Source organism: Homo sapiens, chromosome 21 (assembly GCF_000001405.40).
Source record: "Homo sapiens chromosome 21, GRCh38.p14 Primary Assembly".
Taxonomy (NCBI): Eukaryota; Metazoa; Chordata; class Mammalia; order Primates; family Hominidae; genus Homo; species Homo sapiens.
In genome coordinates this window covers 33577507-33590198 of record NC_000021.9, presented here as the reverse complement: position 1 = coordinate 33590198, position 12692 = coordinate 33577507, and the positions used below count along the sequence as shown (strand labels likewise).

General features: G+C 42.0%; 2 protein-coding genes across 2 annotated transcripts in view, besides 2 other annotated features; both read left to right on the top strand.

The window, feature by feature from the left end:
• Positions 1-858, top strand: part of CRYZL1 (crystallin zeta like 1) — a 52401-nt gene extending 51543 nt beyond the window's left edge. The window contains exon 13 of the mRNA NM_145858.3: positions 278-858. Coding sequence (NP_665857.2) covers positions 278-377 — 100 coding nt within the window. The 3' untranslated portion in view covers positions 378-858. The remainder of the gene's footprint in view (positions 1-277) is intronic.
• Positions 1285-1974: a silencer, noted in NCBI's record as "silent region_13262". NCBI's record gives its function as "represses an Ori minimal core promoter by ATAC-STARR-seq in GM12878 lymphoblastoid cells {active_cell/tissue: GM12878}" and the evidence as "EXISTENCE:reporter gene assay evidence [ECO:0000049][PMID:35858748]".
• Positions 1327-1826: an enhancer, noted in NCBI's record as "H3K27ac hESC enhancer chr21:34960679-34961178 (GRCh37/hg19 assembly coordinates)". NCBI's record gives its function as "activates a minimal SCP1, AML or CMV promoter by ChIP-STARR-seq in primed H9 embryonic stem cells {active_cell/tissue: H9 hESC(primed)}" and the evidence as "EXISTENCE:reporter gene assay evidence [ECO:0000049][PMID:30033119]".
• On the top strand, positions 1515-12648 carry DONSON (DNA replication fork stabilization factor DONSON). The gene is made up of 10 exons (NM_017613.4): positions 1515-1878; positions 2597-2677; positions 4018-4221; positions 5431-5609; positions 6533-6711; positions 7953-8034; positions 8144-8248; positions 8699-8897; positions 10637-10849; positions 11755-12648. Exons 1-10 carry the CDS (start codon positions 1558-1560, stop codon positions 11890-11892), a joined length of 1701 nt encoding a protein of 566 aa, NP_060083.1. The 5' UTR covers positions 1515-1557; the 3' UTR covers positions 11893-12648.

Below are 12692 nucleotides of genomic sequence, written 5' to 3'. Positions count from 1 at the left end.
TAAAAATACAAAAATTAGCCAGGCTTGATGGTGCATGCCTGTAATCCCAGCTACTCAGGAGGCTGAAGTATGAGAATTGCTTGAACCCGGGAGCCGGAGGTTGCAGTGAGCTGAGATCGTGCCACTGCACTCCAGCCTGGATGAGAGAGCCAGACTCTGTCTCAAAAAATTAATTAATACACTAATAGATTTGAGCACTAGCATTTGTCATATACCACCCTGTTTGTTCTACTTATCTTTAACTAGACCTGACATTTCTAATTTCATTCCTTCTCAGACCTCAGTTGGATGAACCCATTCCACTGTATGAGGCAAAAGTTTCCATGGAAGCTGTTCAGAAAAATCAAGGAAGAAAAAAGCAAGTTGTTCAATTTTAATTTTCTTCTTTCTCAGACCTCAGTCGGATGAACATATTCCAGTATTTGAAGCCAGAATTTTCTTTGGAAATTGTTGAGAAAAACCAAGGAAGATAAAACAAGTTGCATTTTTAAGCACGTTTCTCTGCTAAGACAAGATGCTCAGTTGACACATTTGAAAAGTGTTTGAAAAATTCTTGTGCAAATGATCAAGATAATTCTATAATTAACATCTTAAGGGAATTTTTCTAAAAACCTTTTCATTGTTTCTATATATTTTGCCCCTGCTATAAAATTCCTTCCATGAAGAAAACTGCTGCTTTCAGCAAAAGTCACACTACTCTTGATAAAAGCTGTTGCAGGCCTTTGCTAAGCTATCAAAGTAACGTATTAATTTTGTATCAACTCCGTTCTCAACACCTTCCTTAAGTCTTTGCTGTCATAATTTAAGCATTTGAGTATATTTTGAAGTCTTAAAAGACTTAGCCCATAGGCACTTAAATTTTGTGTTTTCAACTATTCATTCACTCCGGCTTTCCCCAGGATCAAAGAAGATCCCATTAACTTGCCAGTGGCAGCTGCCTGGAAGTCTGAGATGACCAGGCACTGGGAACGGGGAAGGGAGGGATGTCGGTAGGCTGCGCTGGCATAGGAAGCGTGCTGACGTCTTATCTGAGTTCTCTGGGGGTTGAGGAAGGTGGCCTAGTCCCCTCTCCTCGCCTCTTGAGAGCAGTAGCCACTGCCCTCTCTTAAGTTTATGGAAGCAGCAGCCCATCGCCGCAGCTCAAGTTTGTTTCCTTTTCATCCAGGCGCCAAACCCCGGGCTGATCACATCCCTGCTGCGGGCTTAAATAGAGTTAAGCTATTTCGGTGCCCCACAGGGTAGTGCACATCAGCGCCCTGGATCGCATACTTTCCAGAAGCGTCGCTGAACCTGGCGACTGGACTCTGGCCGAGGACCTGGCAGAAGCGCCAGGGCAGGGTCACCGCTGGGACAGTGGGCGTTGACGGCCACCCGGGATCGCCGCTGCGGGCTGCGTCTCGCGGGCTGCCCACTGCGCATGCTCCGCTCGGAACCGGCGGGGGCGGAGGCGGGGCCGCGTCGGGGGCGGGAGCTCGGCGAGGCGCCACGTCAGGGGCGGGCCCGGCGCGCGCGGGAAGTCTCTGTAGGGCGGCCGGCTACCCTCAGCCGCCGCGCGTCATGGCCCTTTCGGTGCCCGGCTACTCACCGGGCTTCCGAAAGCCGCCCGAGGTAGTGCGGCTCCGACGGAAAAGGGCCCGGAGCCGTGGAGCTGCCGCCTCCCCGCCCCGTGAGCTGACGGAGCCGGCGGCCCGCCGAGCCGCCCTGGTGGCGGGGCTGCCTCTTCGCCCTTTCCCTGCTGCGGGGGGCAGAGGCGGTGGCAGCGGCGGCGGCCCGGCCGCTGCTCGGAGGAACCCCTTCGCCCGCCTGGACAACCGACCGCGGGTCGCCGCGGAGCCCCCCGACGGGCCGGCCCGCGAGCAGCCGGAGGCCCCGGTCCCGGTGAGTGTCTTGTAGCCTGGCCGCCAAGGGGCTCTTGTCTTTCGTGGGTTGAGCCAGCTGTGAATGGGGGATGGAAAGTCCTCGCGTTCGAGGCAAGGAAATGGGCGCGAAGACTTCGGCCGCCCGTGGCCTTAGGGTACCCCGCCCTGGGAGCCGCGATTCTGGCAAGGCCGGGTTTGTGGGAAGAGCGCTCCCCTGGCTACCCCGCTGCGGGCTGTGCTCACGGGACGCGTTCCCGAGGAAAGTGAGGGGGCCCCAGAGGGCAGCGAGGAGCCCCTTGGAGAGGACTTAGAGGTGACTTGGAAAAGAGCTCGAAAAACCCTGAGAGCCCCCATCTTGCAAGGACGCTGTTCGATGGGGCAGGTGACAAGCCCTGCTTCCCCCGTGATTTAGGGCCTCCCTTCTCTCACGCACTCCAAATTATTCTGGAGATGGGGGAATGTCGAGGATTCGTGGGGTCAGAATTCACTAGCATCTGTCTTACCCAAAGCCTTTTGGATCTTTCGGTTTGAAACGCCGGTCCCTGTTCCCCTCAATTTTGATACTAAAGTTCAGACACAAAACTGAAGTGTTGAAACTCATAGATTGGATGGGGTGCCTCTGAATTTAGGTGTACTTGCGTTTATTGAGAAACATGTATGCCAGGTGAGGCTCTGTACATATTTAACGCAAACTTCAGCATCCTTTAAATTTTAAAGGAGAATATATTTAACCTCAGTTTTTAGATTCTAATCAAGAAAATGATTTGCTATGGGAAGAGAAGTTTCCTGAAAGAACAACTGTTACTGAATTACCTCAGGTAATACTTTTTAAATATCATTAGAATGTGTATTTGTATAAACTTTTTTTTCATAGGATTTGAGCCTATTTTTAAAAATACATTTATACTTCTCAGAAGCATTTTGCTTGGAAAGTAGTTTTACAGAGAGGCTTGATCATCTCAACCAGGGATGAAAATACCGCATCAGCCAAGGTAAAGGAGTTGGTTTGATACAGTAATGATGACTGTAAAGATAGCCAGCGCTAAAATAGGCCTGATAGACGTGGGGGTTTTCTTTTACTCTCTAACAGTTTTTACCACTCTTCTTTGGGCAGTTGACTTCTCCAGTTCATCACTCAGAGCCAGCCCTCCTGGCCCACCTCCACAGGTTGTGGCATAGCACTGAACCTCGTTGCTCCTCTCCCCTAACACACACACGTTTCCATTCCCCAACTACTACCATTGTGCTGTGTAGTTTGATAAATGCGGTTTGTCCTAATGGGAACAGGCTAGAAGAGTTCTCCAAGACCCAGTTTCTCTTGTAAATAAGTGACCTTCTTATGGTCTATCCAAGATAGTTCCCCCTTCTCTGATATTTTATTGTGATATAAAAGAATGCTTGGCCGGGCACAGTGGCTCATGTCTGTAATCCCAACACTTTGAGAGGCTGAAGCAGGCGGATCACACCTGAGGTCAGGAGTTCGCGAACAGCCTGGCCAATATGACGAAACCCCCGTCTCGACTAAAAATACAAAAAAATTAGCCAGGCGTGGTGGGGCACGCCTGTAGTCCCAGGTACTCGGGAGGACGAGGCACGAGAATCGCTTGATCCTAGGCGGCAGAGGTTGGTACTGAGCCGAGATCACACCACTTCACTCAGCCTAGGCGACAGAGGGAGACTCCGTCTCAATTTAAAAAAAAAAAAATTCTTGTATTGTGGAGAACGTCGACCTGAAGCAGACAGGTTGAGGGGAAATATTTGAAGTCAGGAAATGTTTCTTAAATATGGGCTTTGTTAGCCCTGGATGCAGAGTTTCAGAAGCTTAAAAGATCCAAAATGTTTTAACACTTGGAATATTTCTACTTCAATACAAACATCTATACTACCATAAAGAACTGTAAAAACTAAAAAGTGAAATCTGCCCCTCCACCACCCCTACCCCCAACAACAAATTCCCGCTTCCCATAGGTAACCATGGTTAAAAGTTTAGTGTGACTCCTTTCAGACTTTTTTACAGTGTGTAATGTATTTTTCATGTTATTTATTATACAGCTTATATGATTTTTACTTTTCAGTGATCATGTTAGCTGATAAAATCTTTAGGTTGAAGGTTTTTTCTTGATACTCGACTAATTTTTGCATTCTTTGTTTTCTAAAGACTTCACATGTATCATTCTCCGAGCCTGATATTCCGTCCTCAAAAAGTACTGAGTTACCTGTGGACTGGAGTATTAAAACGCGACTCCTTTTCACCTCTTCTCAACCCTTTACCTGGGCAGATCATTTGAAAGCACAGGAAGAAGCTCAAGGTCTTGTCCAGCATTGTAGGGCAACAGAAGTTACTTTGCCTAAAAGTATACAGGTAACTCTGAAATAAAATAGTTATGTGTTAAAGTAACAAATTAAGTGTGAAATGCTCTCCTTTGCAAAATAGCAGATGCTGCCTTCCATTAAGTTTTTCTTTGGAAATTTAAAGATACAAAGACAGGAAGTTTTGTCTTTCCCAGATGGTGCTTATGGTGCTTTCATACCTTTTTTTTTTTTAAGTCAGATTGAGTAACTGCTCATACATTTAGAGACTTGTCTTGCAAATTAATCAGTGTTGCAGGCAAGAATTGTTAAATTATTTTTCTCTAAGGCTTTTTGAGAAAGAAAATACAAAGAAAGAAGTGAAAAGCAATTGGGTGGGATTGCAAGGGCTGATGGATTTACAGATTTTCTTACCTGTATAAGAAAAATTTTATGAATTTTGTGGAGTTTGTGAGTTCTAGAATGGTTTTAGAGATATACATTTTGATTATTTTAAAGCATCAACTCAAAACTAGGAGGCTGGGCACAATAGCCCATGCCTGTAATCTCAGCATTTTGGGGGCTGAGGTGGGGGGATTGCTTGAGACCAGCCTGAGTAACGTAGTGAGACCCCATCTCTACAAAAAAAAAAAAAAAAAAAAATTAGCTGAGCATGGTGGTGGGTGCCTGTAGTCCCAGCTACTTGGGAGGCTCAGGTAGGAGGATTGTTTAAGCCCAGGAGGTCAAGACTGCAGTGAGCTCTGATTGTGCCACTGTACTCTAGCCTCAGTGACAGAGTGAGACTATCTTAAAAAAATTTTTTTAAAGTCTCAAACTAGGTTAAAAAGGATTACCCTGAAAAAGGTCTTGGTATATTATACATCTTTTCAATAAATAGATTAGGATGATTTGTGATTTGCCGTATCAGTGTTTACTGGCTACTTTTAAAACAGCCTTTTGGAGAGAGGGTTGGATGTAGTGTTACCTACACACACATGCCCACCCCTATTCCTCATGATAAAAAAGGTAGTCATTGTCCTTAAGGATGGTAGAAACAGGAAAATGTTCCCATCTATGTTTAAATGTTCTGATACTACGGCTTACCATTACATCTGGCTCAAATAAGGATAAACTATGTTTTCGTTCCTATAACAATTATTAATGCTTTCCTATAGAAAGCAATAAAGATTCTTAGACCTAAGTGTTTGGTAAAGATTGTCTTTAATAAAATTCTCTATTTCTCAATGGGCAAAAACTGCCCACTGTCACCTTTGGATTTTAGGATCCCAAACTCTCCTCTGAGCTCCGTTGTACCTTCCAGCAGAGCCTTATCTATTGGCTCCACCCTGCTTTGTCTTGGCTACCACTGTTCCCTCGTATTGGAGCTGATAGAAAAATGGCTGGAAAGACAAGTCCTTGGTCAAATGATGCAACCCTGCAGCATGTTTTAATGAGTGACTGGTAAGATTAGTAAGAGAAACTTGTATAATTCAATAGTGAATTTTATTTTAGCAGCATTCTCTATCATATTTGTGACTGGATACGTTAATGGCAGAAGGGTATCTAGATCCTTGTGAATTTTATCTGAACCTATTAATAACCAACATATAAACTGTTTACTTTTTTTTTTTTTAGCTGTTACTCATTCTTTACCCAATTGTGGTAGAATGTATATAAGTGTTGGTTAAATATATACAGACAGGCAGGCCGGGTGTGGTGGCTCACGCCTGTAATCCCAGCACTTTGGGAGGCCGAGGCAGGCGGATCACAAGGTCAGGAGATTGAGACCATCCTGGCTAACACGGTGAAACCCTGTCTCTACTAAAAATACAAAAAAAATTAGCCTGGTGTGGTGGCGGGTGCCTATAGTCACAGCTACTCGGGAGGCTGAGGCAGGAGAATGGCATGAACCTGGGAGGCAGAGCTTGCAGTGAGCCGAGATCGCGCCACTGCACTCCAGCCTGGGCGACAGAGCGAAACTCCGTCTCAAAAAAAAAAAAAAAGTATATATATATATATATATATATATATATATAAACACGCAGCCCTAATTCTTTAATGCTACTTCTTGTCAGTCTCTGCTTCCTTTTTTAGCAGCAGCTCAGAGAAAGTCAGCAGGCAATTCTCAATTAAGTTTTGTTTAAAGAAAAAATAAGTGTTTAAGTGGTATACACTATTTGTTAAAGTATTGAGAAGTCATCAGCGAGTCCTCATAACCAATTTCAGTCCTTTAAAGCTAAGTCATACGTAACCACAAAAATTAAAACCATTATCTAAAATATTTGTGTTGTGTTTTAAACCAGGTATCAAACTGAATTATTCAGAATTATAAACATTGCATTAAATGTTTAATAATACCTTAAGAAAATTTTTTTACTTCATAGGTCTGTGAGCTTTACTTCTCTATATAATTTGCTGAAGACAAAACTTTGCCCCTATTTCTACGTTTGTACCTATCAGTTTACTGTCCTGTTCCGAGCAGCAGGATTAGCTGGAAGTGACTTAATCACAGCTCTCATATCTCCAACAACTCGAGGTTTAAGAGAAGCTATGAGAAATGAAGGTAAAAGTTTAGGTTTAAAGTGAGAATACTATACTATATAGTAAACCTATTTTGGCCTAAAAGCTATTTAAATTTAAAATGCCTTTTACCAGTTGATTAGCAACATTAAGAAATATATTATTTCTTTATTTCTGGCTTTTTTTCCCTCCCCCACAATTATTTAATCCAGCAGTCCGCAAACTTTTTGGCACTAGGGATCAGTTTCATGGGCAGTGAGGAGGATGGTTTCGGGATGAAACTGTTACACATCAGATGATCATTCTTTTTTTTTTTTTTTTTTTTTTTTTGAGATGGAGACTCGCTCTGTCACCCAGGCTAGAATGCAGTGGTGCAATCTCGGCTCACTGCAAGCTCCGCCTCCTGGGTTCAGGCCATTCTCCTGCCTCAGCCTCCCGAGTAGCTGGGACTACAGGTGCCTGCAACCATGCCCGGCTAATTTTTTGTATTTTTAGTAGAGACGGGGTTTCACCGTGTTAGCCAGGACGATCTCGATCTCCTGACCTCGTGATCCGCCCGCCTCGGCCTCCCAAAGTGCTGGGCTTACAGGCGTGAGCCACCGCGCCCGGACAAGATCATCATTCTTATAAGGAGGGCACAACCTAGATGCCTCACATGCACAGTTCACAGTAGGATTCGTGCCCCTGTGAGAATCTAATGCGACCACTGATGTGACAGGAGATGGAGCTCAGGCAGTAATGTTCACTCGACAGTCGCTCACCTCCTGCTGTGCAGCCCGGTTTCTAACAGGCCACAGGCCAGTACCAGTCCACAGTCCAGGGGTTGGGGACTCCTGATTTAAACTGTTCCTTCCACATAGTGTTCTCTGATCTCTAAAATAAAACACATATTGGGCCAGATAGTCACTATCTGAATATACTCTTCTAGAAATTCTTCTATAGTACCAATTACCCCTTTAATAACAAAATTTTCAAACTGAGTAAACCCATTAGTGGATCATGAAATCTACTTAATGGGCCCAATCAGTACTTTTTCAAAAAGTGAACTGGAATACAATATGATTTATGAAAGAGTGTTACATGTATGTGTTGTTTCCCGAACCTCTTTCAAGGAGAATACGTTTTATGCATGTTTGTAGGTTTGTGAAGAAAGCTTGAAAACTCTACTGCCTTAATAGATCATTTGTAAAAACTAACATTTCAAATTTTTTACACTCTAAAAGTACAGCATGCCTGTTAAATACTTTAAATGACAACTCAGTTACATTTTTGTTCCTCATATAGGTATTGAATTTTCTCTGCCTTTAATAAAAGAAAGTGGCCATAAGAAGGAGACAGCATCTGGAACAAGCTTGGGATATGGGGAGTATGTGATTAAAATAACTTTATATCATCCACTGACTTATGGACTCATGAAATAGATTTGCACAGGAACAGCTTGTGAAATAGGGACTCTAACTGTAGCAATTTCCTAGGGAGCAAGCCATCAGTGATGAGGATGAAGAGGAAAGTTTTTCCTGGCTGGAAGAGATGGGTGTGCAAGATAAAATTAAAAAGCCAGACATACTTTCTATCAAGCTGTATCCTTTCAGTTGTTGTTAACTAGAATTAATTTTCATTGAATGACGTTAGTGAGAAGTTTAACATTGGCAGTTTTATATGATTATAATCTTAAATTATCTTCAGGTCATATTAAAACTAATTCTCCATTGTAATACTAAATAAGCCCCTAAGTATCAACAAATGGTGAACTATTAAACCTTTTTTAATCAAAACGTTCAATTATGATTGTGGGAGAATAGGTGTGTTTTGACTAGAGAAGAAATTAGGTTTAGGTGTCAGTTTGTAGCAAATTCAGATTGTTAACATTTTGATTGAAACATATGCCTTATGATTCGGTAAAGAGAGGTAGCAAGAGGATTTCCATTTCATTATGGAGAAAAGGAGTCTCAGGTGATTCAGAATCAAGATAACTGCTTTCCACATTAGGTGAGATTTGCTTTTGCAATTTCCTTGATTGTCATCTTCAGGCGTAAAGAGAAACATGAAGTACAAATGGATCACAGACCTGAATCTGTTGTGTTGGTAAAAGGAATCAACACCTTTACATTGCTCAATTTTTTGATTAACTCTAAGAGTTTAGTTGCTACCTCAGGTCCACAGGCAGGACTTCCTCCAACCCTCTTGTCCCCTGTTGCTTTCCGAGGTGCCACAATGCAAATGCTTAAGGTAATAAAAGTCTGCATAACCTAGCTTTTAAGAAGTACTTTACTTTGATAGGATAAATTCTTGATTTAAAAAAAAACCTCCTAGCATTTTTACTTGGTACATATTTTCATTTTGCTTTCCTCCCATTAAAAAAAGAAACAAAAATTATATAAGACAGTTATATCAAAGAAATTATGTGGAAATATATAAATTATATGAAATCCTTTTTATTTTCTTTTCGAGATGGAGTCTTGCGCTGCTATCCAGGCTGAATGGAGTGCAGTGGCGTGATCTCAACTCACTGCAACCCCTGCCTCCCGGGTTCAAGTGATTCTCGCGCCATGCCTCAGCCTCTTGAGTAGCTGGGATTACAAGCACACACCACCAAGCCTAGCTATTTTTTTTGTTTTTTTTTTTCTTGTTTGTTTTTGTTTGTTTGTTTTAAGAGGGAGTCCCACTCTGTCACCGGCTGCAGTGCAGTGGTGCGATCTCGGCTCACTGCAGCCTCCAACTCTGGGGTTCAAGCGATTCTTCTGCCTCAGCCTCTCGAGTAGCTGGGGTTACAGGTGGGCACCACCACGCCCAGCTAATTTTTGTATTTTTAGTATAGACGGAGTTTCACCATATTGGCCAGGCTGGTCTTGAACTCCTGGCCTCTTTTTAAATTATACGAACATTTATTTTCTTTTTTTGGTTGGGGAGACAGGGTCTTGCTGTAGTGCAGTGGCACAGCTCACTGCAGCCTCAACCATGTGGGCTCAAGTGAAATTCCTGCCTCAGCCTCTCGAGTATCGGACCACAGGACTGCCATGCCCTGCTTTTTTTTTTTTTTTTTTTTTTTTTTTTTTTTTTTTTTTTTGAGGTGGAATCTCACTCTCACCCAGGCGTGTGCCACCACGCCTGGCTAATTTTTTTTTTTTTTTGTATTTTTTGTAGAGACGGGTTTTCACCATGTTGGTCAGGGTGGTCTCGAACTCCTGACCTCATGATCTGCCCTCGGCCTCCCAAAGTGCTGGGATTACAGGCATGAGCCACTGCACCTGGCCGCCCTGCATTCATTCATTCATTCATTCATTCATTCATCTATCTATTTAGAGACGGAGTCTTGCTCTGTCACCCAGGCTGGAGAGCAGTGGCTCAATTTTGGCTCACTGCAAACTCTGCCTAACGGGCTCAAGCGATTCTTCAACCTCTGCCTCTGGGGCTCAGGTGATTCTTCTGCCTTAGCTTCCCAAGTAGCTGGGACTATAGGCTCACACCACCATGCCTGGCTAATTTTTTTGTATTTTTAATAGAGACGAGGTTTCACCATGTTGGCCAGGCTGGTCTTGAACTCCTGACCTCAAGTGATCTGCCCACCTTGGCCTCCCAAAGTGCTGGGATTATAATCATAATAAATTATATATGTAAATACAAAATACATGCTAAATCTTAGCAATAAAATTGAATGGATTTTAAATTTTTGTTTTTCCAATAGTCTGCATTGACAGTGTATTACTAAATCAGATAAAATACTATATGAAAAAATGGTATTCTCTGGAATATACTTCACCTGAAAATCTCTTAATATGGAAAGGTTGCTGAAAATTTACTAAGTATTTGTACTCACATAACATTGTTTAGATGTCTTGGGAAATAGTTTTATTCCATAATTGTTAAAAGAGAGGAAACCCCAAATGGAAATATATTGAACATATTTTTGGCTAGGCAAAAGGTTGAGAGATGATCTTAATTTTCCTTTTCTTTACATTTTCATGAAGGCACGGAGTGTGAATGTGAAGACACAAGCTCTTTCTGGATACAGAGACCAATTTAGTTTGGAGATTACAGGTCCTATCATGCCTCATTCTCTGCATTCACTGACCATGCTGCTCAAATCTTCACAGAGTGGATCTTTCTCTGCAGTACTGTATCCACACGAGCCAACTGCTGTATTTAACATCTGCCTGCAAATGGACAAAGTACTTGATATGGTAAGTAGACACCTATGAGCAGACTGTTTTAGTTGTAGTTTCCTCAAACTAGCTGGAGGGAAATTGAGTCATTTATGCTGAGTCACTATTGTGTTTCAAGTAATTAAACTGTTACTTAATTATGAATTACTAGAGGAAGGAATAATGTCTGTAAGTTGTTTATGTGAGGTAGCTTTCATGAATTCAGTCCAAGTACAATTTTTTTTTTTTTTTGAGATGGAGTCTTGCTGTTGCCCGGGCTGGAGTGCAGCGGCGCGAGTCTCGGCTCACTGCAGCCTTAGCCTCCTGGGTTCAAACAGTTCTCCTGCCTCAGCCTCCCAAGTAGCTGAGATTACAGGCATGTGCCACCACATCTGGCTATTTTTTGTATCTTTATTAGAGACGGGGGTTTCACCATGTTGGCCAGGCTGGTCTTGAACTCCTGACTTCAGGTGATCTGCCCACCTTGGCCTCCCAAAATGTTGGGATTACAGGCTTGAGCCACGGCACCCGGCCTCAGTCCAAATAGTTTTAACAGTGACTGAAGAACTTCCCATTCCAAAAAGGGGCAGCTTTTTCATTTCCTCTTGCATCCAAAACTCAATAGTACCTGATTCCTTTATAGTTTAAGGAAACAATTCACTGTGGGTATTTAACCATATTTGCCTTTAATTTTGAACATACTTAAGGTTTTTAGAGTTAGAATTAAGACCTTTAAAATTGTCTCATGCATCTCAGTTGGCTAGACTTATAACCATTAATATTTTGGGATTTTGTCACTACAAAAATTCTTAGCATCAACTTCTATTAATAGGATGAATCACATTAATCAGCCATTTATTTGTCAGTCTCCATAGTAATTATTTAACTCTTCTGTGTTTAAAGACTAATGTGCTTTTTACTGACTTGTACACACATTTCCACAGGAGGTTGTTCATAAGGAGCTTACTAACTGTGGTTTGCACCCTAACACTCTGGAGCAACTTAGTCAAATACCGTTACTTGGGAAATCATCTTTACGGAATGTGGTGCTGAGAGACTACATTTATAATTGGAGATCCTGAACACCAAAGTAAGCCTAAAAGGAATCTTTGAGGAAAAAAGCCTTCTAGCAAGGAAATTCAAGATTCTTGAAGTTGAAGGAATATACTGAAATGTTTATAAACATAACTTTTACTACAGTAGCATCTAAGGTTTTAAATGTGTTTTACTATTTTCAGATTAGATTTTTAGATATAAAGATGAAAAACTCAGATAACTCAAATGAGATATCTATATCCCTACAACCTAATTGTATATTGAGCAGAAACTGAATTAATATGCTTCCTTGCAAATGGGAAATCACATAGCAGTTACCCCATGGCATTGTGACTAATGGCATCAGGGCAAAAATATGTTACTTTACGATTTACCTGTTAGCAGGTTCTTGTTTCATAAAGGTAGAAAATAAATACAGACAACATCTACTGAGCTAGTTGATTGGTGATGCTTCTACCTTAATATCTTTCCTACTGATTTATAATTCCTTTATTTTCACATATACTAAAACTTTTTAAATGCATGTTAATTCAGATAAAAAGGCATTTTGTATTCCACATAGAATAGTGTTAAGAATTGTGAAGTACACTGAGCTGTCACGGCAAAGTAGTATTTAATGTGCTTATAGGGGTGTGTGTGTGTGTGTGTGTGTGTGTGTGTGTGTGTGTGTGTGTGTGTGTGTGTGTGTGTGTGTGTGTGTGTGTGTGTGTGTGTGTGTGTGTGTGTGTAGGGGGGGACTGTATAATTCACATTTTTAAAATAAAAGTGCTTAAAAATCAAAAGCATTGGGTAAAGAAATAATAGTATCTAAGTATTTGTTCACTTT

Excerpts from the sequence above, each read along its gene's own strand:
- DONSON (NM_017613.4), top strand. The coding sequence starts at position 1,558 with ATGGCCCTTTCGGTGCCCGGCTACTCACCGGGCTTCCGAAAGCCGCCC. Across the intron at positions 1,879-2,596 it reads AGCCGGAGGCCCCGGTCCCG|TTTTTAGATTCTAATCAAGA; the intron begins GTGAGTGTCTTG and ends ATTTAACCTCAG. Across the intron at positions 8,035-8,143 it reads ACAAGCTTGGGATATGGGGA|GGAGCAAGCCATCAGTGATG; the intron begins GTATGTGATTAA and ends GCAATTTCCTAG.